The sequence below is a fragment of the Homo sapiens genome, chromosome 14, assembly GCF_000001405.40.
Source record: "Homo sapiens chromosome 14, GRCh38.p14 Primary Assembly".
In the NCBI taxonomy this organism is placed as follows: domain Eukaryota; kingdom Metazoa; phylum Chordata; class Mammalia; order Primates; family Hominidae; genus Homo; species Homo sapiens.
In genome coordinates, this window is record NC_000014.9 from 93,207,210 (window position 1) to 93,234,556 (window position 27,347).

A 27,347-nucleotide genomic window follows, 5' to 3' on the forward strand; every position below is an offset into this window, starting at 1 on the left:
CCCACCTCCTCCGGCTACGCCCCTCACGGCCGCTTTTCCCGCCTCCGCCGGGGCCGAGCCGCTGTTCGGCTGACAGTTGAGGATGGCCGGAGCCGAGGGCGCCGCTGGGCGGCAGTCGGAGCTGGAGCCCGTGGTATCGTTGGTCGACGTCCTTGAGGAGGACGAGGAGCTGGAGAATGAGGCGTGCGCTGTCCTGGGCGGCAGCGACTCCGAGAAGTGCTCCTACTCTCAGGTGGGCGCGCGGCCCGGGCCTCCTCTCCCCCGGCTCCCGCCGAACCTCCCCTTCCCGGCCCGGCTGTCCCTATTCCCGCCTTGCCGCAGTCGTCTCCCCAGTGGTGGTCCGGGGCCGCCGTTAGTCTGCCGCTTCCTCACCCCAAGCTCACCCTTCCCTTTTAACCCCAACCTCCTGGGCCCCCTTCAGCCTGTGTCCAGCAGGGGCCCCCCTCTCCCCTGTCTCCAACTCTGTCCGGCCCGCCAGGAAGGGCCCTGGAGCAGCTGCTCTGTCCGTCCTCTCCAGCCTCTTCTTGGTGCACCACTGCTTTTCACGAAACCACCCCGCGACCTCTCAGATCCAGACATCTTTGTCCCTGATTTTCCCATCCTAAGATTATTTATTTATTTATTTATTAGGGACCGAATGGGAGAGTCAGGTTAAAGAGATTTTCAAATCCATAGGGATTTGCGGTGAGCTCCTTGACAGCTAGTTCCTCTGCAATTTAGTTGGACAAGTGCTAGCTAGTACTTTTTCTTTCTTTCTTTTTTTGGCAAAATGAAGCAAGTACCCATGTCTATCTGCAGTCTGCCCCCCTCCCCTGGAAATAGACCGGAAACAGAACAGCAAGTGGCTCTGGCAAGGGAGGGGAGAGAGGAGAAAAGGATCTGTTTGGCATTTGGAAGACGTTGTGAGTGAGCAAGTGTTTGAGGGGGTGTGATGTGGTGTTTAGTGACTCACCCTACACTTCGAGGTACAAAAATGGAAAAGGATGGGTAGGAAGAAGACTGACAAAGGATGAGAATTGGTAGGAAGAAGGGTTACCTAGGAAGAGGGGTGGATTGGAACACTGGGGAGATGAGGGGAGAGACTTGTATTCATTATGTGGTATGAACTGAGATCATAATACCAGTTCTCGTTGTTGACCAAGGTTAGTTTACACTGCAAAGTGCTAGATTGTTGAATAAACCTGGTATCCAGACATAGCCCCAGGTATTTTAAAACCTTTGGTCACCACTAAAACAATTTTTCCCCTGCTTTACTTAAAAAAAAAAAAAAGAAAAAAGTTATGTCTATATGTAAACTATTTTTGAAGTGTAGTTACCTTTATAAAATGGATTCCTTAATATTTTCTTTGTGGTAAAAAAAAAAATACGGAAATTTGCACAAATCATGTACACAGCTTGAAAGGAAAGTGTGCGTGTTCCCACAACCCAGATCAACAAATAGAACATTAGGAGTGCAAAAGGCTTATTGGAATAGAACTTTAAAAAAAAAAGAAAGAAAAAGAAATAGAACCTTACTGGCATCCCGGAAGCCTCCTTATCTATCTTCCTCCTTCCTAGAGGAAGGTAACTATACCTCTTATACATATTCACTTTTTTTTTCTTTTTGAGATGGAATTTCACTCTTGCCACCCAGGCTGGAGTGCAATGTCATGATCTCTGCTCACTGCAACCTCCACCTCCTGGGTTCAAGTGATTCTCCTGTCTTAGCCTCCCAAGTAGCTGGGATAACAGGCGCCCGCCATCACGTCCAGCTAATTTTTGTATTTTTAGTGGATGGGGTGTTCTAGAGATGAGGTTTTCACCACGTTGACCAGGTTGGTCTTGAACTCCTGACCTCAAGTGATCTGCCCACCTCGGCCTCCCAAAGTGCTGGGATTACAGGCGTGAGCCACCGTGCCCAGCCTACATATTCACTTTTTAACATTTTGTCACATTTGTTTTATCTCCTTTTCTACTTAAAATTTGCTGTTTTAAAATTTTGAACTATTTAAAAATAAGTTGCAGACACGATGACACTATACCTCTAAATACTTCAGCAGGCATCTCCTAAAAATCAAAGGGATTCTTTGCATGTGTTGATTCTTTCTTTGGTAGATTTACAAACATTTTCCAGGATGAAAGTGTGATGTTACTTACATAAACCTGTACATATGCTCCTGTGTTTTCACATATTAAAATGATTAAACAGATCCATTTATTCACAGCTGATTGACAAATTCAGACTTCCTATCACTTTAAGAAAGAAGTGCTGGCTTGTGTCGTGGCTAATGCTTGTAATCCCAGCACTTTGGAAGGCCAAGGCAGAGAATTGCTTGAGCCCAGGAGTTTGAGACCAGCCTGGGCAACATAGCAAGACCTTATCTCTGCAAAAAATAAATAAGGAAGAAAGAAAAAAGTGCTTGCATGAAAAAAAGCACTAGTATAAAAATGAAACTTGCAACGCAACTGTGTTTTGGTTGATGCTCTGTTGTGTAAACTTTTTAGTCTTAATGGTTTTTACAGAAAGATCTTGACCACAGATAATCTGATTTTAATTATTTTTCAGTTCCTAGTGTGGGTATTAGGTAAACCATGCTACTACATTAATTCTCTTTTCCATTTTGGGGGCTTTCAGGGCTCAGTAAAGAGACAAGCACTATATGCCTGTAGTACCTGCACCCCAGAGGGAGAAGAACCAGCAGGAATTTGTTTAGCTTGCAGTTATGAATGTCATGGAAGTCACAAACTATTTGAGCTATACACAAAAAGGTAAACATAGTCAAGAGATTGTTACTAAATGCTTTTGAAGTATAGATTCTTTCCCATCTACACTTTTTCCTAATCTTGTTTTTTCATGCAAAGCAGTTGAACACTAATGAAATTAATTAATTAATTTATTTATTTATTTATTTTGAGACGGAGTCTTGCTCTGTCACCCAGGCTGGAGTGCAGTGGTGTGATCTAGGCTCACTGCAAGCTCCGTCTCCCGGGTTCACGCCATTCTCCTGCCTCAGCCTCCCGAATAGCTGGGATTAAAGGCTCCCACCACCACGCCCAGCTAATTTTTTGTATTTTTAGTAGAGACGGTGTTTCACCGAGTTAGCCAGGATGGTCTCGATCTCCTGACCTCGTGATCCGCCCGCCTCAGCCTCCCAAAGTGCTGGGATTACAGGCGTGAGCCACCTCGCCCAGCACTAATGAAATTTAATGTAATTATTTTATATAATTGGAGAGAGTTGTTTCTAGAGCCTTTAAAAACATAATATGGTACAAACTCAAACCATTTATCTTTCCCTGCCATCATTTTACTTGTGTGTTTGTATGTGATATAAATATTTGCTTTTGTACATATTAATTTCCCGAATTGTGAAGTCTTACTATGTGCTTGAATGCTTGAAGAAATTTTAAATTGGATTTTGTAAAAAGAAAAATAAAATTGTTATTTCCTCCTTTTTTCAGAAATTTTCGTTGTGATTGTGGAAACAGCAAGTTTAAAAATTTGGAATGCAAATTACTTCCTGTAAGTAAGCACTGTAACTATAAATGCATTTAGAGCAGCTGAGGTTAATATTTGCCAGAGTGGGTAAAAAAACAAATACCTGTATTTTCCAAAAAAAGAAGTTCTTATGCTTATTCTTTGCAGATGGCCATTTCATTTTTTACTTTGTTAGAAAAACTATATAAACTGTTGAGAGCCTACAAGATAGATGGTAATTAATATGAAAGGTTTGGGGGAGAGATGTACTTGAAAGTAATTCAGGTTTAATTATATTGGTTGTACTTATTCTCTGAGGCTTTTAAATCAGCGGATATGACTTAAAAACAATAAATAGGGTCAAGAGATCGAGACCATCCTGGCCAACATGGTGAAACCCTGTCTCTACTAAAAATACAAAAATTAGCTGGGCATGGTGGCACCCAGTCATCTACTCGGTCAGCTACTTGGGAGGCTGAGGCAGGAGAATTGCTTGAACCCAGGAGGCGGAGGTTGCAGTGAGCCGAGATTGCGCCACTGCACTCCAGCTGGCAACAGAGCAAGACTCCATCTCAAAACAAACAAACAAAAACAATAAATAGGCCGGGCACGGTGGCTCACACCTGTAATCCTAGCACTTTGGGAGGCCGAGGCAGGTGGATCACTTGAGGTCAGGAGTTCAAAACCAGCTTGGCCATCATGGTGAAACCCCCCCGTACTAAAAATACAAAAAATTATCTGGGCATGGTGGTGCGTGCCTGTAATCCCAGCTACTTGGGAGGCTGAGGCAGGAGAATCGCTTGAACCCAGGAGGCGGAGGTTGCAGTTACCCGAGATTGTGCCACCGCACTCCAGCCTGGGCGACAGAGCGAGACTCCATCTCAAAAAAAAAAGAAAAAGAAAAACCAATAAATAAGGCTGGGCGTGGTGGCTCATACCTGTAATCCCAACACTTTGGGAGGCCTAGGTGGGAGAATGGCTTGAACCCAGACCAGCCTGGGCATCATAGTGAGACCCCATCTCTATCAAAAAGAAAAAAGAAGTACCTTGAAATTCCAGGCCAATATCAGTTCACATAGATTGATAATTAATATTTATGATTAACTTTTATCTCCATTTTATTGAATAGGTGTATTTAATTTCTCCTAATTACCACAAAAAAAAACAAAAAAAAATTATTTTTTCCCTGTGTCCTGAAAAAAGTATCCCTTTAGTGGTAGTGAGTTTTTTTTTTCCTACTTTGAAAATTAAAGATCAGCCTCTTGGGGGAAATAATGTGGAAATGTATTGAATGCATAAATTTTATAATGTGTGAAATTATAGTTAAAATTAGACCATATTATTATTGAAATCAATATTATATTTCAGGACAAAGCAAAGGTAAATTCTGGCAATAAGTACAATGACAACTTTTTTGGATTGTACTGCATTTGCAAGAGACCTTATCCTGATCCTGAAGACGAGGTAAGAGAATTGGAAGTTAAACCTGGGGGTGTGTCCCCTCTAGCCTTGATTCCTCAACTGCTTGTCATATCCGAGCCTCTGGCTCTTCAAGAGGCAGTGTGGGATGGTGAAAGGGCTCTAGATTTATCTTTTCTTATGAATCTGGGTTGGATCTATAATTGGTACACATCTCAACCATTCTTTTCATTTTTACATCATAAGAATGAAATATTGGAGAGGACTTTCCCAAAGCCAGAGCTTCTTCCCTTCCTCTCCTTCCCTGACTGCCTCCCCCAGTCCCCAAACACTTTCTAAGAAATGACCTTCAACTTCTTTTGTCTCTTTACGGAAAAAAATGGGGTATACAAACAGCATCCTCTTAAAAACGTCAATGAGAAGTATATGCAAAATTCAAAACGAGTTCTTCCTCACTTCTGCACCTCTTACCTCCCAGGCATAACCACTGTTAACACTTTTGGTGTGTATATTTTTAGTCCTTTTTCTGTGCACATAGAAGTGTTTGAGTGAATGTGTGTTTCAATGTGTAGTTTCCTTTCTATTAACAGAAGTGAAAATTCTGTACACTCACTTCTGCAGCTGGCTTTTCTCACCAGTATATCATAGACATTCTTTCATGTCAACAAAACACACTTACCCCCTTCTAACTGCTGCAGAGTATCCTATAATTTCATATGCCATAAGTTAGTCAACCTGATTGTTCTTCTACAGCAGAATGGCATTGTGTAATTTTTCAATATTATAAAGAAAGCTAGAGTGAACATCCTCATACAGTAATACAACTGAGTATACTCCAAGTATTTATGTAGAATGGATCGGTATAATTGACGGATCAAAGTGTATTTGTGGCATTTAAAATTGTGATTGGCTGGGCACTGTGGCTTATGCCTGTAGTCCTGGCTACGCGGGAGGCTGAGACACAAGAATCACTTGAACCCATGGGGCAGAGGTTGCAGTAAGCTGGGATTGCGGCACTGCACTCCAGCCTGGGTGACAGAGCGAGACCCTGTCTCAAAAAATAATAATCATAATAAATAATAAAATAAAATTGTGATCATATCTGCCAAAAAAGTTGTACCAGCAACAGTATATGATAGTGTTTTTTCCCCAACACTTTTGTCAACCTTGCATATTACCAGTTCTTGAAAATTTTGCCATTCTGATAAATGAAGAATAGTATCTTTTTTTTCATTTTTTTTTTCAGACGGAGTCTCGCTCTGTCACCCAGGCTGGAATGCAGTGGCGCGATCTCGGCTCACTGCAAGTTCCACCTCCCGGGTTCATGCCATTCTCCTGCCTCAGCCTCCTGAGTAGCTGGGACTACAGGTGCCCGCCACCACGCCCAGCTAATTTTTTGTAATTTTAGTAGAGTCAGGGTTTCACCGTGTTAGCCAGGATGGTCTCAATCTCCTGACCTCATGATCCGCCTGCCTCGGGCTCCCAAAGTGCTGGGATTACAGGCGTGAGCCACCGCGCCCAGCCAAAGAATAGTATCTTAAATTTTTTTTTCTTTCCCTGATGATAAGTGAGGTTATGCATCTTTTCATAAGTTCATTGGACATCCATAATAACCTTCTCTCTGAATTGTCCTTTCATATCCTCAGTCCATGTTTTGATTGGTTTGGGTTTTGTCTGGGTATTTACCGATTTGAAAGAGTACTTTTTGTCTTTAGAGATATTAGTCTTCTGCCTTCTTCCTTGCTTTCTAATTGCGTTGGAACTATAATTATTGAACCAAATTATATAGAGGGACAGATTGAAAGTCTCTTTGAGTTAACAAAAATAAAACCTTAAAACTGGATTTTTTTTTTCTTTTTTTTAAGACGGAGTTTCGCTCTGTCACCCAGGCTGGAGTACAGTAGTGCGATCTCAGCTCACTGCAACCTCTGCCTCCCAGGTCCAAGCGATTCTTCTGCCTCAGCCTCCTGAGTAGCTGGGATTACAGGCACTCGCCACCATGCCCGGCTAATTTGTGTATTTTTAGTAGAGACAGGATTTCAGCATGTTGGCCAGGCTAGTCTTAAACTTCTGACCTCAGGCGATCCACCCACCTTGGCCTTCCAAAGTGCTGGGATTATAGGCGTGAGCCACCACGCCCAGCCAAAACTGGATATTTTAAGGCATGTGGTAAAGTGTTACAGCTCCTCCTGTTCCACAATATGTGCTTTTTTATTCCCTTTAAGAAGCCTACGATAGGAAAAGGACAGAACAACATTGGGATGTTAATTAACAGTTATGAGAGCCTGGGAGTAAAAGAAAATCATCCCCAAAATAGTCTATGTCCTTTGGTATATTATTTTCCTAGGGCCAGCATTTAATTATTTAATTTATTCAAATTAGAGGAGTTATCTATCGAGGTTTTTCATAACATTTACTTTTCAGTGTACTTGGCAGGATGGTTCTTCTGCAGCAGAAAGGCATTGTCTAATTTTTCAATATTATAAAGAAGGCTGGAGTGAACATCCTTATACAGTAATACAACTGAATATTGTATTAAAGGATGGTGTGGTAAAAAGTCCCAGTTGTCACTGTCTGCACTGGTCCATTCACATTACTTGCCTGGGCCTGAGTTTTGTATAAAATGGGAATGCCCTCCTTGTCTACACAGTTTTGTGAGAATCAGATATTAAGTAATGGATGTGAAAGAGCCTTGAGATTGTTTGTAAAGTGCTTATCTCAATGTAAGCCTTTGGAACACCAGTTCATGTAGAACAAATATTTAGTATCTTATTTTACTGTGTGCCAGGTTATTTCCATGTTCCCGAATTCAATGTAATCCTTAACAAACTGCTTTTCTCTGTTAGATTCCAGATGAGATGATCCAGTGCGTAGTCTGTGAAGACTGGTTCCATGGAAGGGTAAGGAAAATGTTCCACCTTTTGAAACCATTGTTGTCACAAAAAGATAAAGGTTATATTTTACATTATAATTAGTCTTCTAAAAATAAATTCTAATGATATGATCAGTGTATTATTACAGTATTTATAAAATAATGGGCATTTTGGACAATTTGGCAATCACAAGAAAATTTTTGGTGTTCTATATTCACAGCATCTTGGTGCCATTCCCCCTGAGAGTGGGGATTTTCAGGAGATGGTATGCCAGGCCTGCATGAAACGTTGTTCTTTTTTGTGGGCTTATGCTGCACAATTGGCAGGTAGGTATCTTTGTGAAGTTGGTGTGCCACAAACTTGTGCTTGTGAAATTTGTATGTTCAATTCAGAATTTTTAGCAACTATTTTTAACTGGGCTCTGTGGTTATAAAATAGTATATGTTCTGGCCAGGCATGGTGGCTCACGCCTGTAATCCCAGCACTTTGGGAGGCCAACAAGACAGATGGATCACCTGAGGTCAGGAGTTCGAGACCAGCCTGGCCAACATGGCGAAACCCCATCTCTACTAAAAATATGAAAATTAGCCTGGCGTCACGGCGCTTGCCTGTAATCCCAGCTACTCCAGAGGCTGAGGCAGGAGAATCACTTGAACCCAGGAGGCAGAGGTTGCAGTGAGCCGAGATCACGTCACTGCAGTCCAGCCTGGGCAATAGAACAAGACTCCATCCTCAAAAAAAAAAAAAAAAAAAAAGAATAGTATGTGTTCTTTCTCCACAAGGTGCATAGATTTGTTGGGATACTACCAAAAACAAATTTATACTTAAATGATATGATGCAGAGTATTGATGAGACCAGAGTTAGAGAATGGAGGAGGCAGTTTTTGAATGGGATTTTGAAAGATAAATAGAACTGAAATAAGTTGTTAATTCTAACACATGGTATCAGTTGGGGAGGAGGTGGTGTCTTAGTCTGTCTGGGGTGCTAAAACAAAATACCTTAGGCTGGGTAATTTATAAACAATAGACAGATATTTCTCACAGTTCTGGAGACTGGGAAGTCCAAAATTCAGGTGCCCGCAGAGTCAGTGTTTGGTTGAGGGCCCATTCCTCATAGACAGATCCTTCTACGTGTCCGTACCTGTTAAAAGGGGCAAACAAGCTCGCTTGGGCCTCTTTTATAAGTCAGAGCCCTCGTGAATGGGATTAGTGCCTTTATAAAAGTGGACTACAGGCACACACTACCATGCCCTGCTAATTTTGTATTTTCTGTAGAGACAGTGTTTCACCATGTTGCCCAGGCTGGTCTTGAACTCCTGAGCTCAAGTGATCCACTCATCTTGGCTTCCCAGACTGCTGGGATTACAGGCATGAGCCACCATGCCCAGTCTATCTGGTGCTTTTATTATACACTAAGAAATTAAATCAAAACAACTAATTAATGAATGGTCCTGAGGCATTAACTATCTTATTGGTAATGCTTTATGTATTTCTTTATTTTTAAGGTGGCAGTTACTCATGGTATCTGCTGCTTAGGCTTCATAATTTCTTGCCTTTCTCATCTTTAGAGACCAGTTCACCATACAAACCATGAGCAGCATAGCCATACCTCTGATCTCATCCTACAGTTTAGATTTGCCTTAGAGTTCTTTTGTTTTTCTGCCTTTTTTTTTTTTTTGAGACAGAGTCTCACTGTGTTATCCAGGCTGGAGTACAGTGGTGCTATCTCGGCTCACCTCAACCTTGCCTCCTGGGTTCAAGCGATTCTTGTGACGCGGCTTCCAGAGTAGCTGGGACTACAGGCACATGCCACCACACCTGGCAAATTTTTGTATTTTTAGTAGAGACAAGGCTTTTACCATGTTGGCCAGGCTGGTCTCAAACTCCTGATGTCAAGTGATCCACCCGCCTCGGTCTCCCAAAGTGCTGGGATTACAGGCATGAGCCACCACGCCCGGCCAGTTTGCCTCAGAGTTCTTAAGTGCTGCTCCCTTTCTGTTCACACCCTTTCCAGTGATCTCTCTCACTGTCCACAGATGCTGAACCTATCTATGTGTAGTTCTCATTCATTGGGTTTTTTTGTTTTTTCAAGACGGAATCTTGCTCTGTTGCCCAGGCTGGAGTGCAGTGGCACAATCTCTGCTCACTGTAACCTATGCCTCCTGGGTTCAGGCAATTCTCCTGCCTCAGCCTCCCAAGTAGCTGGGATTACAGGCATGCACCAGCATGCCTAGCTAATTCTTCTATTTTTAGTAGAGAAGGGGTTTCACCATGTTGGCCAGGCTGGTCTCGAACTCCTGACCTCAGGTGATCCACCCACCTTGGCCTCCCAGAGTGCTGTGATTACAGGTGTGAGCTACCATACCCAGCTTAATTGGGTTTTTTAAATTGATCTCCTGCCTCTCCCTTCATTTCCTCTCCCATCAGCAGATGGCTTCATCTCCTATTACATTGAAATGCTGGCATCCAATGTGAGCTCCCCTATCGTTTCTCTTCTCTGTCTCAGAGTATATCTGCCACTACACCCATCATTTTTTTTATTTCTTCCTCCCATAAAGAAAAGCTGTTTTTAAAAAATTACCCTTCTGTCTGTGTTTACAATTCAATCTCTTCCTCCTGCTTCTTGTATTATTCTGTCTCTAACAAGTACAGTACAATATTTTCTCCTTTATGTGTAAAGTGCTTAAGCAGTGATTGATATTTTCAAATAAACTGTTTAATTATTTGAATTCTTTGGGTTAGGCAGACATAACCTAAAGAAGCGTTGGAATTTTCTTTCTCAGTATTTCGGAGACTACGGTGGACTAATCTCTTTTTCCAGATTCTGAAATATTTTAATATCAGAAAAAGTGATTTTAGGTCAGATGTGGTGGCTCATGCCTGTAATCCCAGCACTTTGGGAGGCCGAGGCAGGTGGATCACCTGAGGTCAGGAGTTCCAGACCAGCCTGACCAACATGGAGAAACCCCATCTCTACTAAAAATAAAAAATAGCCAGGCATGCTGGTGCATGCCTGTAATCCCAGCTACTCAGGGGGCTGAGGCAGGAGAATTGCCTGAACCCAGGAGGTGGGGGTTGCAATGAGCCAAGATCACGCCATTGCACTCCAGCCTGGGCAACAAGAGCGAAACTCTATCTCAAAAAAAAAAAAAAAATAGCAAAAGCTATTGTATGCCTGATGTGGTGGCTCACACCTGTAATCCCAGCACTTTGGGAGGCTGAGGCAGGCAGATCACTTGACATCAGGAGTTCAAGACCAGCCTGGCCAACATGGCGAAACCCCGTCTCTACTAAAAATACAAAAAATTAGCCAGTCATGGTGGCACGCACCTGTAGTCCCAGCTACTCGGGTGGCTGAGGCATGAGAATTGCTTGAACCTGGGAGACAGAGGTTGCAGTGAGTCAAGACCATGCCACTGCACTCCAGTGTGGACGACAGAGTGAGACTCTGTCTGTAAAAAAAAAAAATAATAATAATAGAATAAGTGATTTTATTGTCTGTTGGGATTTTATTGTCCGTTAGGTCAGTGGATATGTGTGTATGTGTTTTTCTTTTTCTTTGAACTCACAGTAACCAAAATATCCACTGAGGATGATGGATTGGTGCGGAACATTGATGGAATAGGTGATCAGGAAGTTATCAAACCTGAAAATGGAGAGCATCAAGATAGTACCCTCAAAGAGGATGTTCCAGAACAGGGAAAGGATGATGTCCGGGAGGTTAAAGTAGAGCAGAACAGTGAACCATGTGCCGGCTCTAGTTCTGAATCTGATCTCCAGGTAATGTGTGAAGTACGAGCCATCAAGAAATAAGACTGGGCCAGGCGCGGTGGCTCATGCCCATAATCCCAGCACTTTGGGAGGCTGAGGTGGCGGATCACCTGAGGTCACGGGTTTGAGACCAGCCTTGGCAACATGGGTAAACCTCATCTCTACTAAAATTACAAAAACTAGCCAGGCATGGTGGCACATGCCTGTAATCCCAGCTACTCAGGAGGCTGAGGCAGGAGAATTGCTTGAACCCAGGAGGCGGAGGTTACAGTGATCCGAGATCATGCCACTGCACTCTAGCCTGGGCAACAGAATGAGATTCCGTCTCAAAAAAAAAAAAGAAAACTGAAGTGGAATTAATTCTGTAAACTTATGGCTTTGGATTTCAATTTTATCCTTTGCCTAAAGAAATCTCTTTACAAAATCTAAACTATGAAAACTATGGTAGTTTAAAAAACATGCTTCAAAACTTAATTTTATTTCAGACAGTGTTTAAGAATGAAAGCCTCAACGCAGAATCAAAATCTGGCTGCAAACTTCAGGAGCTTAAAGCTAAGCAGCTTATAAAGAAAGACACTGCCACCTATTGGCCCCTGAACTGGCGTAGCAAGTTGTGTACCTGCCAAGACTGTATGGTAAAGTATCTGATTGTGCTCAGTGTTAGCATGTTTTGTGTACTGGTGCCCCAAAATAAGAACACCTGGGGAAAACATTCAATTTTTGTACCAGAGGAAGAAAGGAAAATAAAAAGAACACCTGAACAATATATTTATGAAATTAATGTTTAGGAGACCCTCCAAATTTTTACATTAAGCAAATTTATGACATAGTACTTACAGTTGGAATGTTTGTGGAAGAAATGGATAATTATGCAGTATTTTAAATTTACTTATTTTAATTTTAGTTTACTTATCTTTGTTATATCAAAGTTGCTTGGAAACACTGGTTGAAAGTTATAGTAAATTGGCCAGGTGCTTTGGCTCACGCCTGTAATCCCAGCACTCTGGGAGGCCAAGTTAGGTCTCGATCACCTGAGGTCAGGAGTTCGAGACCAGCCTGACCAACATGGTGAAATCCTGTCTGTACTAAAAATACAAAATTAGCTGGGTGTGGTGGCACATGCCTGTAATCCCAGCTCCTTGGGAGGCCAAGGCAGGAGAATCGCTTGAACCCAGAAGGCGGAGGTTGCAATGAGTCGAGATCATGCCATTGCACTCCAGCCTGGGCAACGAGTGAAACTCCATCTCAAAAAAAAAAAAAGTTAACAGTAAATCAATGGTTTTTAAATAAAGATCTCATAGACCATATGACATCTGGGAAATTGGGAGATTTCTGAAAGAAATTTAGGCAAAAAGAATAAATCCTTCTAGCAATTCTGTGTTAAAGACGCTCCAGTTTTTCTAGGTCTTAATATAAAAAAATTACATTTTTAGTGATTCTCAGGAAATTGGCTTTCTGAGAATGATAAACAGTTCTAATGGGGAAACTCCTCTTTCTTTTTTTTTTTTTTTTTTCCCTAAAGAAAATGTATGGAGATCTAGATGTCTTATTCCTGACAGATGAATACGACACAGTTCTGGCTTATGAAAACAAAGGGAAGATTGCCCAGGCCACTGACAGGAGCGATCCCCTAATGGATACCCTTAGCAGCATGAATAGAGTCCAGCAAGTGGAACTCATTTGTGGTAAATACTGTGTGTGTGTGAAAATTCATCATTTCCTTCACTATGTAAAAAAATATAAAGGGGGCAGTAAACACCTATATTTTTAATTTAATACAAAGAATTAAAATTTTGAATTTTAGACCATTGCTTGATTTTCATATTGGTGGGTATTCAGCTGCTTTTACCATTGAATCAGAGTTACATGCTAGAATAATTACATGCTTGAGAAACCACAACATATGCTATTCTGATTAAGGGTAGATGGATGAATGCAAATTTTCCATCCATTGAAACAATTTTTGGACATTATGTGTCATGTTCTTGAGCAAGGCATGTCACCATTTTGACAGTTCTTGAGGTTGCTTCAGTGGTTCACAGGAAACCACTAGAGGAGAAAATACCCCCAAACCCTTGATTGAAGGCTTTTACATCCCCCCACCACCACCCAGCTGCAGCAGGCCAAACTTATTTCAGTGGTTTCTATCCCAGCCATTTCCACTTGGATGCCACCACTTTTATGTGACTTTTATAGCATCAGTCATTTCTGTCTTTTATTATTTATTTATTTATTTTGAGACAGGGTCTTGCTCTGTTGCCCAGGCTGGAGTGCAATGGTGCATTCTCAGCTCACTGCAACCTCTGCTGCCCAGGCTCAAGTGATTCTCCTGCCTCAGTCTCTCAAGTAGCTGTGACCACAGACGCATGCCACTGCGCCCCCCCAATTTTTTTTTTTTTTTTGAGATGGAGTCTCACTCTGTCACCCAGGCTGGAGTGCAGTGGCGCGATCTCGGCTCACTGCAACCTCTGCCTCCCAGGTTCAAGTGATTCTCCTGCCTCAGCCTCCCAAGTAGCTGGGATTACAGGCACCTGCCACCATGCTTGGCTAATTTACTTTGTATTTTTAGTAGAGACAAGGTTTTACCATGTTGGCCAAGCTGGTTTCGAACTTCTGACCTCAGGTGATCTACCTGCCTTGGCCTCCCAAAGTACTGGGATTACAGGCATGAGCCACCATGCCCAGTCCCCACTAATTTTTGTATTTTTAGTAGAGTCAGGGTTTCACCATGTCACCCAGGCTGGTCTCGAACTCCCGAGCTGAGGTGATCCACCTGCCTCAGCCTCCCAAAGTGCTGGGATTACAGGTGCAAGCCACTGCACCTGGCCGTGTCTTTTATTTATAATTATTAATTTCTTTTTGCCTTTATTAGAGTAAAAACTTTTCAAGGATAGAGGATGCACCTAAAAGATACTTGTAGCCCTCAAGGTACCTTGTACATAATATAAACTGTTAAGTGAGTCAGTTTGCTTGGGCTGGGCGCCATGGCTCACGCCTGTAATCCCAGCACTTTGGGAGGCCAAGGCAGGTGGATCACCTGAGGTCAGGAGTTCAAGACCAGCCTGGCTGACGTGGTGAAACCCTGTCTCTACTAAAAATATAAAAAAGTAGCCAGGCATGGTGGCGCGTGCCTGTAGTCCCAGCTACTCGGGAGGCGGAGGTTGCAGTGAGCCGAGATCGTGCCACTGCATTCCAGCCTGGGTGACAGAGTGAGACTCCATCTCAAAAAATAAAATAAATTAAATTAAATTAAATATTCAACAAGTCCAAGGTTATTTCAGCTACCAGAATTCCAGAGAAATAGGAAGCCCTTTTAAAAATTCTTAATCTTTATGGGATTAGGATATCTCTGCTTTTTATGCTTTTTAAAAAATTTTGCTTTTTTTTTTTTTAATGAAAAAGGGTCTCATATCAACATGGTAGACGTACAGATAATTTGGGAACGAGTTTCTATGCAGCTTTCACTTAAGAAAATTTTTATTTAGACTACATTATTAACAGACTCAGGTGTCAATGGCAAAGAATATTTTGTTTTTGAAAGCAAATGGTTTATCTAAACTTAAATACTTTTGTGGTTTTGATTTAGAATACAATGATTTGAAGACTGAACTTAAAGACTATCTCAAGAGATTTGCTGATGAAGGCACGGTATGTTGAGTTAAAGAATTCTAATCATAGCCCTGTAAGTTTTGAATGAAGGGTTTATTTCCTTTGACGATTAAAAATGACTGCGACTGGCGGGGTGCGGTGGCTCACACCTGTAATCCCAGTACTTTGGGAGGCCAATGTGGGTGGATCACAAGGTCAGGAGTTCAAGACCAGCCTAGCCAATATGGTGAAACCCCATCTCTACTAAAAATACGAAAATTAGCCAGGCGTGGTGATGGGCGCCTGTAGTCCCAGCTACTAGGGAGGCTGAGGCAGGAGACTCACTTGAACCCAGGAGGCGGAGGTTGTAGTGAGCCGAGAACACGCCACTGCACCCCAGCCTGGGCGACAGAGCAAGACCCTATTTCAAAAAAAAAAAAATGACTGCGACTTAAGTGGGTACTTGAGAGTTGAATTCAGGGACTGTTTTGAGCAAATTGGCAGGCTAAGGGGAATGAATAAGAGGTAGTGAAACATCAGAGTTACATTGGCAGTCCTTACCAACCCCAGCTAAGCCGGGAAGAATGATGGGAGGGCGCAGTCCCACAGCCTCTGAGAGAGTACTTGTAGCTTAGCAGAAGGTCATTGGAAGGAATCCGCAGTACTGATTCTGCTGGTCCTGACCTTGAAGCATGGATCTTTGGGACGGGGAGGGGAAAATGACTGGACAGGAAAAATTAACACCAGACCCAGTTTCTGGAATTCTAAGTTCCATGGTTTAGAATAGAAACTGGGCATGGTGGCCGGGTGCAGTGGCTCACGCCTTAATCCCAGCACTTTAGGAGGCTGAGGTGGGTGGATCACCTGAGGTCAGGAGTTCAAGACCAGCCTGGCCAACATGGTGAAACCTTGTCTCTACAAAAATACACAAATTAGCTGGGTATGAGGGCGGGTGCCTGTAATCCCAGCTACTCCGAGGCTGAGGCAGGAGAAACGCTTGAACCCCACAGGTGGAGGTTGCAGTGAGCCAAGATTGTGCTATTGCACTCCAGCCTGGGTGACAGAGCAAGACTCCATCTCAAAAAAAAAAAAAAAAAAAAGAACTGGGCATGGCGGCTTGTACCTGTAGTTTCAGCTACTTGGGAGGCTGGCTTGAGCCCTGCTTTCTTAGAAGATGTCATCTCTGTCTACCTACTTTAGGTCATTTTTTCCTTTTTTTTCTTTTTTGGGGTGGGGGGCGTTCCTGAGTTTATTTGGGGCACACCCGGGCGAGGGCCCTGCCCCTAGAAGAACGTGTTGGGCCTCTTGGTGGTGAAGCGTGGCTTGGGCTGACGGGCAGGACCCGGTGGGGCAGCGGGAAACTTGATCTTGGAGTCGTGGAACTGCTTGATGGCCGGCCGGCTGGCGGCACTTGCTGGCTGCGATCTCCTTCACCTTCAGGATCTCGATGGAATGGGCCCAGGTGCGGTGCCAGGCGCCCATAGACCTCTCGGTAGCACTGGGTAACAGCGCCCGCGGTGGTCAGGTCCCGGTATTCCCGGTACATGTTGGGGGCGCCGCTCCGGGAGTCATAGCTCAGCCAGATGCCGAAGTTCTTGACCCGCGGTGGGGACTTCTCAAACACCTGCCCACAGTAGACAATCTCCCCTGAAGACTTCTTCATCTTTTTTAACTGAGATACGAAGTACCAGAAGTCCCGGGACTTGGCGACAACGTGATTAGGCGCAAAGATTCGCATGTGGTAGAGGGGCGGTGTGTGGCATTTGGGGGTGGGCAGGCAGTGACCCACCACCTTGTACTCTCATAGTGTGCCCGAGGCCTTCATGGCGTCCTCTCCGCGCTCGCCACCACCCGCAAAAGGTTAGGTCGTTTTTTTCTTTGTCATAGATGTGGGAAGAACATTTAACTGCCTGAATTTCTGGACAGGGTCACAGTGCTGCCTGCTGCCTTTCTGCAAAATGAATTGTAAAGTTAAAAGAGCCTTCTTCTAAGTGGTTTTCTCAGTTTTTAGAGACTTCTTCACTATCACTGAGAACAATTCCTACTTCCTTACAGTTCTTTTTTTTTTTTTTTTTTTTTTTTGAGATGGAGTCTTGCTCTGTCGCCTAGGTTGGAGGGCAGTGGCGTGATCTCGGCTCACTGCAACCTGTGCCTCCCAGGTTCATGTCATTCTCCTGCCTCAGCCTCCCAAGTAGCTGGACTACAGGCACCCGCCACCACGCCCGGCTAATGTTTTGTATTTTTAGTAGAGACGGGGTTTCACCGTGTTAGCCAGGATGGTCTCGATTTCCTGACCTTGTGATCCGCCCACCTTGGCCTCCCAAAGTGCTGGGATTACAGGCATGAGCCACCTCGCCCGGCCTTCCCTACAGTTCTTAAAACTTAATGTAGTTATTCTTGTTTCTGTTGCAGAGACTATCCTCTGGTTAATACAGACTCAAGCTTCTTTGGTGCTAGAACTAAGAATGTTCATGGGTGTAATGGGGCACTCTGCCTCAGTGTGGTAACCTCTGAACTGTCAATGGACATTTGAGGTGTTTCAAATAGTGTGCAGGCATGCCCTCTTGATGCTGGTGCTGTTGCACCTCCACTCTTTTGTGGTCGGTTTTCTTTATTTTATCACAAACATATACTTAAAATTACATAAAAGAAAAAAGTTAGGCATGTTCTTTTTCATGCACATTGGAGACTTTTACTCAAGGTCTTCACAGGTATCTTCAACATCCGGGTCCTTGTTATCACTAGCGCCACTCTTTAGGAGTCTTTAGGAGAGAATTTTTTATCTGACCAGATAATTTAAAAGGTCAGAAAAATGTGGTATTTTTGTTGTTTGTTCCATGACATTACTAACCAGATCTTCACAGAAAAAGAAACAAAACCTCAGGTTGCCATAAAGCTTATCTGCTTTGGTTGTATTTGTCCATAGGGATAATGTTAATAAGTTCTAGCTGTTCTTAGATGGTGGACTGCCTTTTATTTAATGTTTGTATCTAACAAAACAAAAACAAAAACCAAAAAAAAAACCACTTAGACTGGGTGCAGTGTCTCATGCCTGGAATCCCAGCACTTTGGGAGGCTAAGGTGGGAGGATTGCTTGAGCTCAGGAGTTCAAGACTAGCCTGGGCAAGATGATGAGACCCCGCCTCTACAAAAAAAAAAAAAAAAAAAATTAGGCTGGCATGGTGACGTGTGCCTGTGGTCCCAGCTACTTGGGAGGCTGAGATCGGAGGATCGCTTGAGCCCAGGAATTTGAGGCTCCAATGAGCTATCATCACACCTCTGTACTCCAGCCTGGGTGACAGAGCGAGACCCTGTCTCTAAAAAGCAATAATAATTAATAAACTTAGAAACTACACATTTTCTGAAATAAATTAAAAAACTGATTTGTTATTGAACCCAAGTATTTATTCACTAGCGTTTCTACTCTGCACGTTAGCTGTGACCATTTGAGGATATCCAGAAACCAAAAGCTGCACAGTCTCATTTGTGTGTTGTTAGGTCTCCTCCTACAGTATCCTTGCTAGAGATATTTCCTTTTACTTACGGGCTTTCTGTGGCTAATGTTTGTAATCCAGGGTAGGGACAGATCCTTCATTTTGCAACTTGCAAGTATCCTATTTATTAGCATTTTGTTAAGTGTAAATTCCCGTGCCATTTAGCCAAGTACATTAGAATTTTGAGCTGCAGTCATTTCAGGATGTGTTCAGCCTCTGCATCCTGAATCTGTTAGGGGTTTGGATTCCTCACTGGTTGAGCAGCAGTATTACTGTTGGTGCTTATGAAACTGGTGTATCAGCTACTGGTCTGAGAAAATTATTCCAAGTTAGCATTATTCCAAGTTGCTCTTTTGAGTATGGTAGCCACACTTACTAGGGAATGAGAGGGAAGTTTTCACTTTATACCCCTCTTTCTTACTTTCTCTTTATCTCTTTCCCTTTTTGCTCGAATTCATTCACGTGCTCTATTTTTCTTTCTCTTTCCTTCACTTTCCTTGTCTCACTGTCCTTCTTTCTTAACAATAAGCATGTGTTACCTCAGTAAAAAATAAACATGCTGGGTGTCATGGCTCACACCTGTAATCCCAGCATTCTGGGAGGAAGCGGGAGGATCACTTGAGCTCAGAAGTTTGAGACCAGCATGGATAATATAGTGAGACCTCGTATCTACACAAAATTTAAAAATTAGCCAGGCGTAGGCTGGGCACGGTGGCTCACGCCTGTAATCCCAGCACTTTGGGAGGCCGAGGCAGGCGGATCATGAGGTCAGGAGATCGAGACCATCCTGGCTAACACGGTGAAACCCCGTCTCTACTAAAAATACAAAAAAAAATTAGCCGGGCTTGGTGGCGGGCGCCTGTAGTCCCAGCTACTCGGGAGGCTGAGGCAGGAGAATGGTGTTAACCCGGGAGGCAGAGCTTGCAGTGAGCCGAGATCGTGCCACTGCACTCCAGCCTGGGTGACAGAGCGACACTCCATCTCAAAAAAAAAAAAAAAAAAAAATAGAAAATGGAGATGTTATCATTAACATAATTCTTAACAGTATCATTTGACTTGTTTGTGAATGCTATGACCTCGGATTGCGATTCTGTTACTTAGTTCTCTTTCATAATCTTTGCTTTTCAAAAACAGGTTGTTAAGAGAGAGGACATTCAGCAGTTCTTTGAAGAGTTTCAGTCAAAAAAGAGAAGAAGAGTGGATGGGATGCAGTATTACTGCAGCTAGAGTGGAGTATGAAGCTTTCTCATTCAAGCCAATGAAAATGCGCTTCCCATTCTTGGAATAAAAGAGGTGTGGTTCACATTTGGCCCCCTTTCCGTCCTCCTCTGTTTGGAGAGGCCTCGCGCTCCCTTCATTCTCTTTAGCTGCAGTAGCCACCGTGTGGATGCTGACTTCACAGCCAGCGTCCTCTGTGACTCAGCTGATGCAGCTCATTCCACAGACTTCTCCAGTGTACTCCTACTCCAGTGCACCCAGGGTTATTTGCATAGTTTTTAAGTTTGATTTTGTTTTGAGAAAGCAAATTGGTGTCTTGTTTAATGATCTGTTATTTCACTCCCAGATGTGTGTGTTTTGCCACAGAGCTGTTGCCTTCCAGAACCTCCTCCGCAGGCATCACGGAAGGCTCTCTTCCCGTCACCTAGAACCTCTACAGGTCCCCTCGCCCCTATGATCGTGGTGCCTTGGGTCAAAGCTTCCTCAAGCCTGGTCTGCTCCTTCTTTCACGTCCCTGTTTTCTGAGGTTTGGTCATAGCTTAGAAAGGATCTTGGGGCTTGTTTTCTCTAGGCCCAACCTCCAGAGTAGCCAGGACTGATGGTTTTCTGGTCTGGATGTCTGTCACAGGCGGAGAGATTAACAGATGACAGGGTTGAGGAAGCAAGCCTTTGTTATGAATTTTACTAATACAGTTCAAGTGAAATTTTCGTTCATGATTCTATTGGCACTAGAATTAGAATTTCAGTACTGTAGTGCTCACAGGGCTTCCTGGAGAACATTTGCCCGTATACTAGTCCCTTCTCTGCTGCCTAGAAAACAGACCGGGTCTCACCCCTGTGAAATCTTGGTGGTTTACGAAGTCCTCTGGATTTCTTGATATTATCAGGGATATTCATAAGCATATATCAAAAATGGACCTATTTTGATATTCTGTTATGAAAATGTTATTAGAACCCCAATAAATTATTATTTTTCCCCCTTGAATCTGCTAAAGAAAACAGATCCTGACTTAGCTTACTTGAAATAAGCAGGGCAGGGAGCCCTGTTTTGGAAGAGACAGACTGTGGAAGAGATTACAAACAAGGCCCGAGGCTGCACGAATGATGAGTTTTGTGTATATAATGTTAATGTCCACCGCCACTTCCCTAACGACTATGAGATCTTTTTTTTGAAGATCCTCATGGAAGGTTGTACAGAGCCCCACATTTGAGGGGAAGTCCTTTCAGTTGATATGAGATCTCTTTAACACCCCTCAGTCTATGTAGGAAATGCCTTGTGATACATAGAGAACCCTCAGCTTCTCTCTGCCTCTGGAGGACCAAGGTCTTTCCTGACAGTCGGAGACACACCTTGATGTATGTTAATAAAAGCATTTCAGGCTGTGGGGCCACCATGTATATTAATACTCCTTATGTGTCCAGCATCTGTGTATTCATTCGAGTGCCCAATCCCTGGATGAGATGAACTAGGCCTTATAAAAAGTCAAAGCCTCAAAGAAATGGCACAACCATGTTCTTCGGCACTCAGGCTCCTAATTGCAGATCCTCACGAAGGGTGGTATGTGGAGCTGGAAGGTCTTGTGGCCACAGGACATGCTGGTGAGCCCTGAGCTGGCCTTGTGCAGAGGGCTCCGTTCAAAGGCTCGGGGTGTCTTTGAGGTTGTTTATCAAGCTGGGGAACTCTTCCAAGTCTGACAATGTTTCGAACCCTTTTTGCAAGGTTGCACTATTAGTATACCATCATGTCCGGAAAACTTTTAATCTTCTCAAATATCTGATGTAACTACCAGAAAGTCCCTTACTTCCTATGACCAATCAGGACCAAGTCTTGGAGGTGATGTGTTACATTACGTGCAGCACAATAGTACCGATCAGTTAACTCAGCGCTGAAGGGCTTGTTTTATGAAAGGTACTATTCCTTCTTTCACATTAACTGGAAACCTCTTTTTTTACCTGTTGTTCACAACTAGTTTTCTTATTGACTGTATTGGACTGTCTCTTCTTGTAGAGACTGATTTTGGCCAACATATTAATGCATGTTTTATGCAAAACACAAATATGATATTAGTTGCTTTTAAGGAGTTCTGGCATTGTATGTGCATTTTTGTAGAAATTGTTACTGGACTTATAATTACATACTTAACTCTGATCAGGTTTCTGTAAAATTTAAATAAAACCAATACAAAATAGTTGCTTTTCAGATTGTTTTTAGTATATTTAAGTCTACACAGCCTCCCTCTGCAGGTTTTAAGAAAATGCAGGCAGGGCGCGGTGGCTCACGCCTGTAATCCCAGCACTTTGAGAGGCCGAGGCAGGCAGATCACGAGGTCAGGAGATCGAGACCATCCTGGCTAACATGGTGAAACCCCATCTCTAATAAAAATACAAAGAATTAGCTGGGTGTGGTGGCGGGCGACTGTAGTCCCAGCTACTCGGGAGGCTGAGGCAGGAGAATGGCGTGAACCCGGGAGGCAGAGCTTGCAGTGAGCCGAGATCACGCCACTGCCCTCCAGCCTGGGCGACAGAGCGAGACTGTCTCAAAAAAAAAAAAAAAAGAAAAAATGCATAGAGCCGGGCATGGAGGTTCACGCCTGTAGTCCCAGCTACTTGGGAGGCTGATGCAGGAGGATTGCTTGAGCCCAGGAGTTGGAGGCTATAGAGTGCCGTGGTTGCACCTGTGAATAGCCAGCCACTCACTGCACTCCAGCCTGGGCAACAGAGTGAGACCTCATCCTTCAAAAGAAACGTAATGGTGTATTCTAACAGCTCTTCCTGCCCTGAGGTCCTGCCCTCAAAGCAGAGGGACTGGTTCACGACATTGGGTAGCTCATTATTCTGCTGTTCTGTAAAATGCAGCCTGATCCCAGGTCCCCCGAGCAGAGCTCCTTCATCCCCCCGACTTCACCATACCCCCTGGGGTCTAATAATTGGGGTCTAGATGAACAGCAGAACAAAGCAATGGGCTGGGCTGTGACCAGTCACAGTGTTCAGGTACTGCTGCATGCAGAGGGAGAGAGGGCTGGAGCCCACATCCTGAGGAAAATGTGAGGTCCACCCTACACAGTAGCCATTATTTCTAAGTAAATATAAAAGCAACCCAAAAAGCCAGTATAGTGGCCCATCTTTGGCCTCCCCACAACTCCTGCTACCTTGGATGTGGACTTACGGTCATCACCCATGGTAAGTTCAGAGGCCAGATTGCAGAGGGCAGGGTGTGGGCTGCAAGAAGAGGCCACAGTTGGCACTACTGTGAGGGGACAAGGAGAGGGCGCGGCTGCAGAAGGCCAGTCCAGGGAGTTGCTTGTTGAAGTTCAGAGACACTTGGGCCAACGCACATTCTTAAGGTGGAGCCATTGCTGAGAGTGGACCGCAGGTGATGTTGGAGCTGTTAGAAGATGGGATAGGATGGGACAGAAGGACCACCAGACCTGGTGGTGGGGGATGCGGGTGAGGGTGTTGGAATGAGGCCTCAAAATCGAGGGAGTTCCATAGGCAGCCTCCATTTCCCTGGGAGGTGGGAGGGGAGGAGTGAGCTGGAGCATGGCTCAGGTAAGAGGAGGTGGGGGGAAGGAGTGCGCTGGAGGGCGGCTCAGGTGAGAGGAGGGGGCGGAAAGTGGCCCCGAGGAGAACACGTTAAGGCTGACCCGCAGGACTCAGGCACACCGAGCCACGGGAGGCTGGGGACCACAGGTACCACGGGGGCGTGGCTGTCTTCAGTCTCCCAAAGCTGAAGATGGACACACTGTTTATGGGTTGAGTTGGGCGGGGAGGATGGGTCGCAGCTGGGCATGGTGAGACGGCTGCCACCTATGGAAGCTGGGCCATCCTGGCAGGGGAGCAAGGAGGCCAGAGTTCCAGAGGAGGACCAGGGAGAGGCTCTGGACAGGAGGCGATCCGGCCTGAGAGCGGGCAGTGAGGTTAGCATTTCAAAGATGGAGATATTCTGGGGACAGGGGAGAGCTGTGCCATGGACAGGTAGCTGGAGACGGTCTAGGCAGCTACCAGGATGACACCAGGGATTGGAGGGAGAGGATGTTAGGTTGGAGCCAAAGCCTTCAGGATACGAAAGGAGTGACTGGGGGTGGCAGCTGCAAAGGTGGGAGCGGGACACTGGGCCGTGGGGGCTGGAGAGGTGCTGGGGTGTTAGAGACGTCACCCGCCGCCCTTCCTGACACAGAGTCCGTGGAAAGAGCGAGAAGGAGCCCACGTCCTGGGAGAGGGCTAAGTGGGCGAGGAGGAGCTAGGAGGGCAGCCAGGACAGGAGGCAGGAGGGGAGGGGTAGGAGCACAAGGACGCTGGCACTGGGGGGCAGGGAGGACACCCTGAGCAGGCTGGAGAAACAACCGTGGGTGCGATCAGGGGACTTCTGTAGGAAGAAGGCTGGCGAATGACTCGGGAGAGCGGGATTGGCAGGCACAGGGTCACCTGACTGCAACTCTGCAAAGAGCCCAGTCCCATCAGCCCCGGGAATGGTGGGATGCTGGGGGCACTGAGTTCTCTCGGGATCACTTACAGCTGGACTTCCCAGGGACTCCCCAGGGATTTCAGTGGCTCCGTTGGAACATGGAGAGATGGGAAGAACAATTGCTTTTAGTTCAGTCTCAGAGGGCAGGGAGGCATTTATGGTGCATCTGCTAGAACAGGGGGCCCACGGTACCGTCCATGGCCCGTTAGGATCGGCGCCACACAGCAGTAGGTGCGCGGCGAGAGTTATCGCCTGAGCTCCGCCTCCTGCTAGATCCGCGGCAGAATTAGATTCTCACAGGAGAACTCTATTGAGAACTGCGCATGCGAGGGATCTAGGTTGCGTGCTCCTTATGAGAATCCAATGCTAAAAGTAATGCGCTTGAATCATCCCGAAACCACCCCCCCGACCCCTGTCCGTGGAAAAATTGTCTTTCATGAAACCGGTCCCTGGTGCCAAAAGGGTTGGCAACGGCTGTACCAGAAGATTCCAGAGATGGAGGATATTTGTGGAGCTAGCTAAATGAAGGGTAAGGAATTCCAGGAGAGTACAGGCGTCAACAGGTGCCCACAGGACCCCGCAGCAGCCCTCCAAGGTGGGTATTGAGGAGGAGTTTCTTCACCTGAGCCTGAGGATGAGAACTATTGCACACGGTGACTTGAGGATCGCGAGTCAGACATGGAAATTTCGCGACCAGCGCTCAAGAAGCGCACTCGCATCATCTCCAGCTTAAGGATGAGGAGACTCAGTTAGGCGCTTTGCCCCAGCTTCCACAGCCAGGAAGTGGCAGAGGCAGGCCCAGCCCTGGCCCTGCCCTGGCCCTGCCCTGCAGGCGCCCCGAGGATCCCCCAGTCCGTGCCTTCCTCCCTCCTCCCAGGCAGGCTTTCCTGGCTCCGCCTCCTCACCCTCTCTGAAGACCCCCCGACAGGCCAGCAGCGGGCACAGGAACACTCCCCAAAGCTTGGAGACAAGGCATGACAGCCCAGAATCCAAGGCTCTGCTAGATGAGGCTCAAAGCAGCGGCGAGCTCTCCGAGGGACACAGCTTAGTCCCAGGCCGGGGGAAAGGCACCGGGCTGGCACTGGGAGGAAATGGACGTGGTTGTACGGAACTGGTGAGCTCTGGGTTTCAGAGACAGAATAAAAAAGGGTCCATGGCCAAGAGGCTTGGAGACAGAACAGATGGACCTGTTGGGTGGGCCATGGAGCTAAACTCCAGACTGGGGTGACGCCCGTGAGAAACCCCAAGACCGTGAGTGCCATGTATAAAGCCAGCTGTGGAGCAAGGACAGTTAGCTGACCACAGGGAGCGTGGAAACACATGACTGGCTTCCACACTTTCTGTGAGAGGACAGCCTTGAACACGCAGAGCAAAAGCAGGCGAGCACGGGCGGAAGGAGCCGGGAGGCCCTGAGGACGTGGCCTGGAAACTATTCACAGCACACCGCAGGCAATCTATGCAGGACGACCGACGACCGAGAGAGAGACACGGGCCCCAACGCCAGAAACGACCATATATCTCAATTCATTTGCTTTTGTACTTTTAGGTGGGGGATGGTAGATTCTGGAAACTATGGACTGGTGACCTGACAGGTGTCCCCTAGAGGCTTCTAAAACAAACTAGCAGCTACTGTGGAATGATTTCTGAACCCCAGGAGAGAGGAGCTGAAAATAGGAAGTGAGGAGTCCTTAAGAACAAATGGTGCGACCCAAATGCCCATCAACAGTAGACTGGATAGAGAAAATGTGGCACATGTACACCATGGAATACTATGCAGCCATAAAAAGGATGAGTTCATGTTCGTTGCAGGGACATGGATGAAGCTGGAAACCATCATTCTCAGCAAACTTACACAGGAACAGAAAACCAAACACCGCATGTTCTCACTTATAAGTGGGAGGTGAACAATGAGAACACATGGACACAGGAAGGGGAACATCACACACCGGGGCCTGTCAGAGGGTCGGGGGTTAGGGGAAGGACAGCATTAGGAGAAATACCTAATGTAGGTGACGGGTTGATGGGTGCAGCAAACCACCATGGCACGTGTATACCTATGTAACAAACCTATACGTTCTGCACATGTAACCCAGAACTTAAAGTATAAAAAAAAAAAAAAAGAACAAATGATGCAGAGCCGACTTCCTTCTCCTGTTGATAAGTCAACCAGCTTCCCAGGGGACGAGGGAAGCCTATGTATGTGACAAGGTCTCTCATGACTGGCCCACAAGATGACAGTAATGATGACCCCATCCAGCTTCCAGGGACAGCTCGGTCGGGTCTCCTCACTCCTCAAACGCCTTCAGTTTCCCTCCTCTCCACCACTAAGCTACTCAAAAAGGCTGTCTACACAGATCATCTCCACCTTCTCACCTCCCACTCAGACTCGCATCTGCCCCACCTGGCTTCTCTCTCCAGCTGCCGCCAAACTGCTCTTCCAAACACCTTCACCTTGAGGCTGACCCAACCCGCCTTAGGGGCCTGATCTTCCAAAACCTCGGAACAGCAGCCACAGGGTTAACTTTTGGATAGCAGTGAAATTGAGCCTTAATCTCTTACCTTTAATTAACTTGAAAAAGTAATACCTGCATATCATTTAAACACTCAACCAGAACAAAAAGGATGCCATTAATTGGCAGTTGCATGTATTGTCAATGACCCTCTCCAGAGGGAGTCCTGTGCACATTCTTGCAGATTTTTTTTTTTTTTTTTTTTTTTGAGACTGAGTCTGTCTCTATTACCCAGGCTGGAGTGCAGTGGTGCAATCTTGGCTCGGTGCAATCTCGGCTCACTGCAATCTCTGCCTCCTGGGTTCATGCGATTCTCGTGCCTCAGCCTCCAGAGTAGCTGGGATCACAGGCCCCTGCCACCACACCAGGCTAATTTTTGTATTTTTAGTAGAGATGGGTTTTCACCATGTTGGCCAGGCTGGTCTCGAACTCCTGACCTCAAATGATCCACCTGCCTTGGCCTCCCAAAGTGCAGGGATTACAGGCGTGAGCCACCGCGCCTGGCTGCAGAAATGTTTATGTATGTATTTGCATTCATTCCTTTTTTTTTTTTGT

At 45.4% G+C, this 27,347-nt stretch overlaps 1 protein-coding gene and 1 pseudogene across 2 annotated transcripts; one reads left to right on the forward strand and one right to left on the reverse strand.

The window, feature by feature from the left end:
• UBR7 (ubiquitin protein ligase E3 component n-recognin 7) lies at nt 47–22,006 on the forward strand. 2 transcript variants are annotated; one of them, NM_175748.4, is made up of 11 exons: nt 47–232; nt 2,615–2,748; nt 3,439–3,499; nt 4,823–4,918; nt 7,720–7,773; nt 7,967–8,072; nt 11,318–11,526; nt 12,003–12,152; nt 13,040–13,202; nt 15,104–15,165; nt 19,734–22,006. In NM_175748.4, the coding sequence occupies exons 1-11, from the start codon at nt 83–85 to the stop codon at nt 19,824–19,826; spliced, it is 1,278 nt and encodes a 425-aa protein (NP_786924.2). In that variant the 5' UTR covers nt 47–82; the 3' UTR covers nt 19,827–22,006. The 2 variants fall into 2 exon arrangements, 1 of the variants encoding a protein (NP_786924.2); NR_038150.2 differs by lacking the exon at nt 2,615–2,748.
• On the reverse strand, nt 16,340–16,966 carry RPL18AP1 (ribosomal protein L18a pseudogene 1; annotated as a pseudogene).

Bases quoted from the DNA above. Each gene is read 5' to 3' on its own strand.
- UBR7 (NM_175748.4), top strand. From the start codon at position 83: ATGGCCGGAGCCGAGGGCGCCGCTGGGCGGCAGTCGGAGCTGGAGCCC. The intron at 7,774-7,966 runs GTAAGGAAAATG...CTATATTCACAG, and splicing joins AAGACTGGTTCCATGGAAGG to CATCTTGGTGCCATTCCCCC. The intron at 8,073-11,317 runs GTAGGTATCTTT...TTGAACTCACAG, and splicing joins TTATGCTGCACAATTGGCAG to TAACCAAAATATCCACTGAG.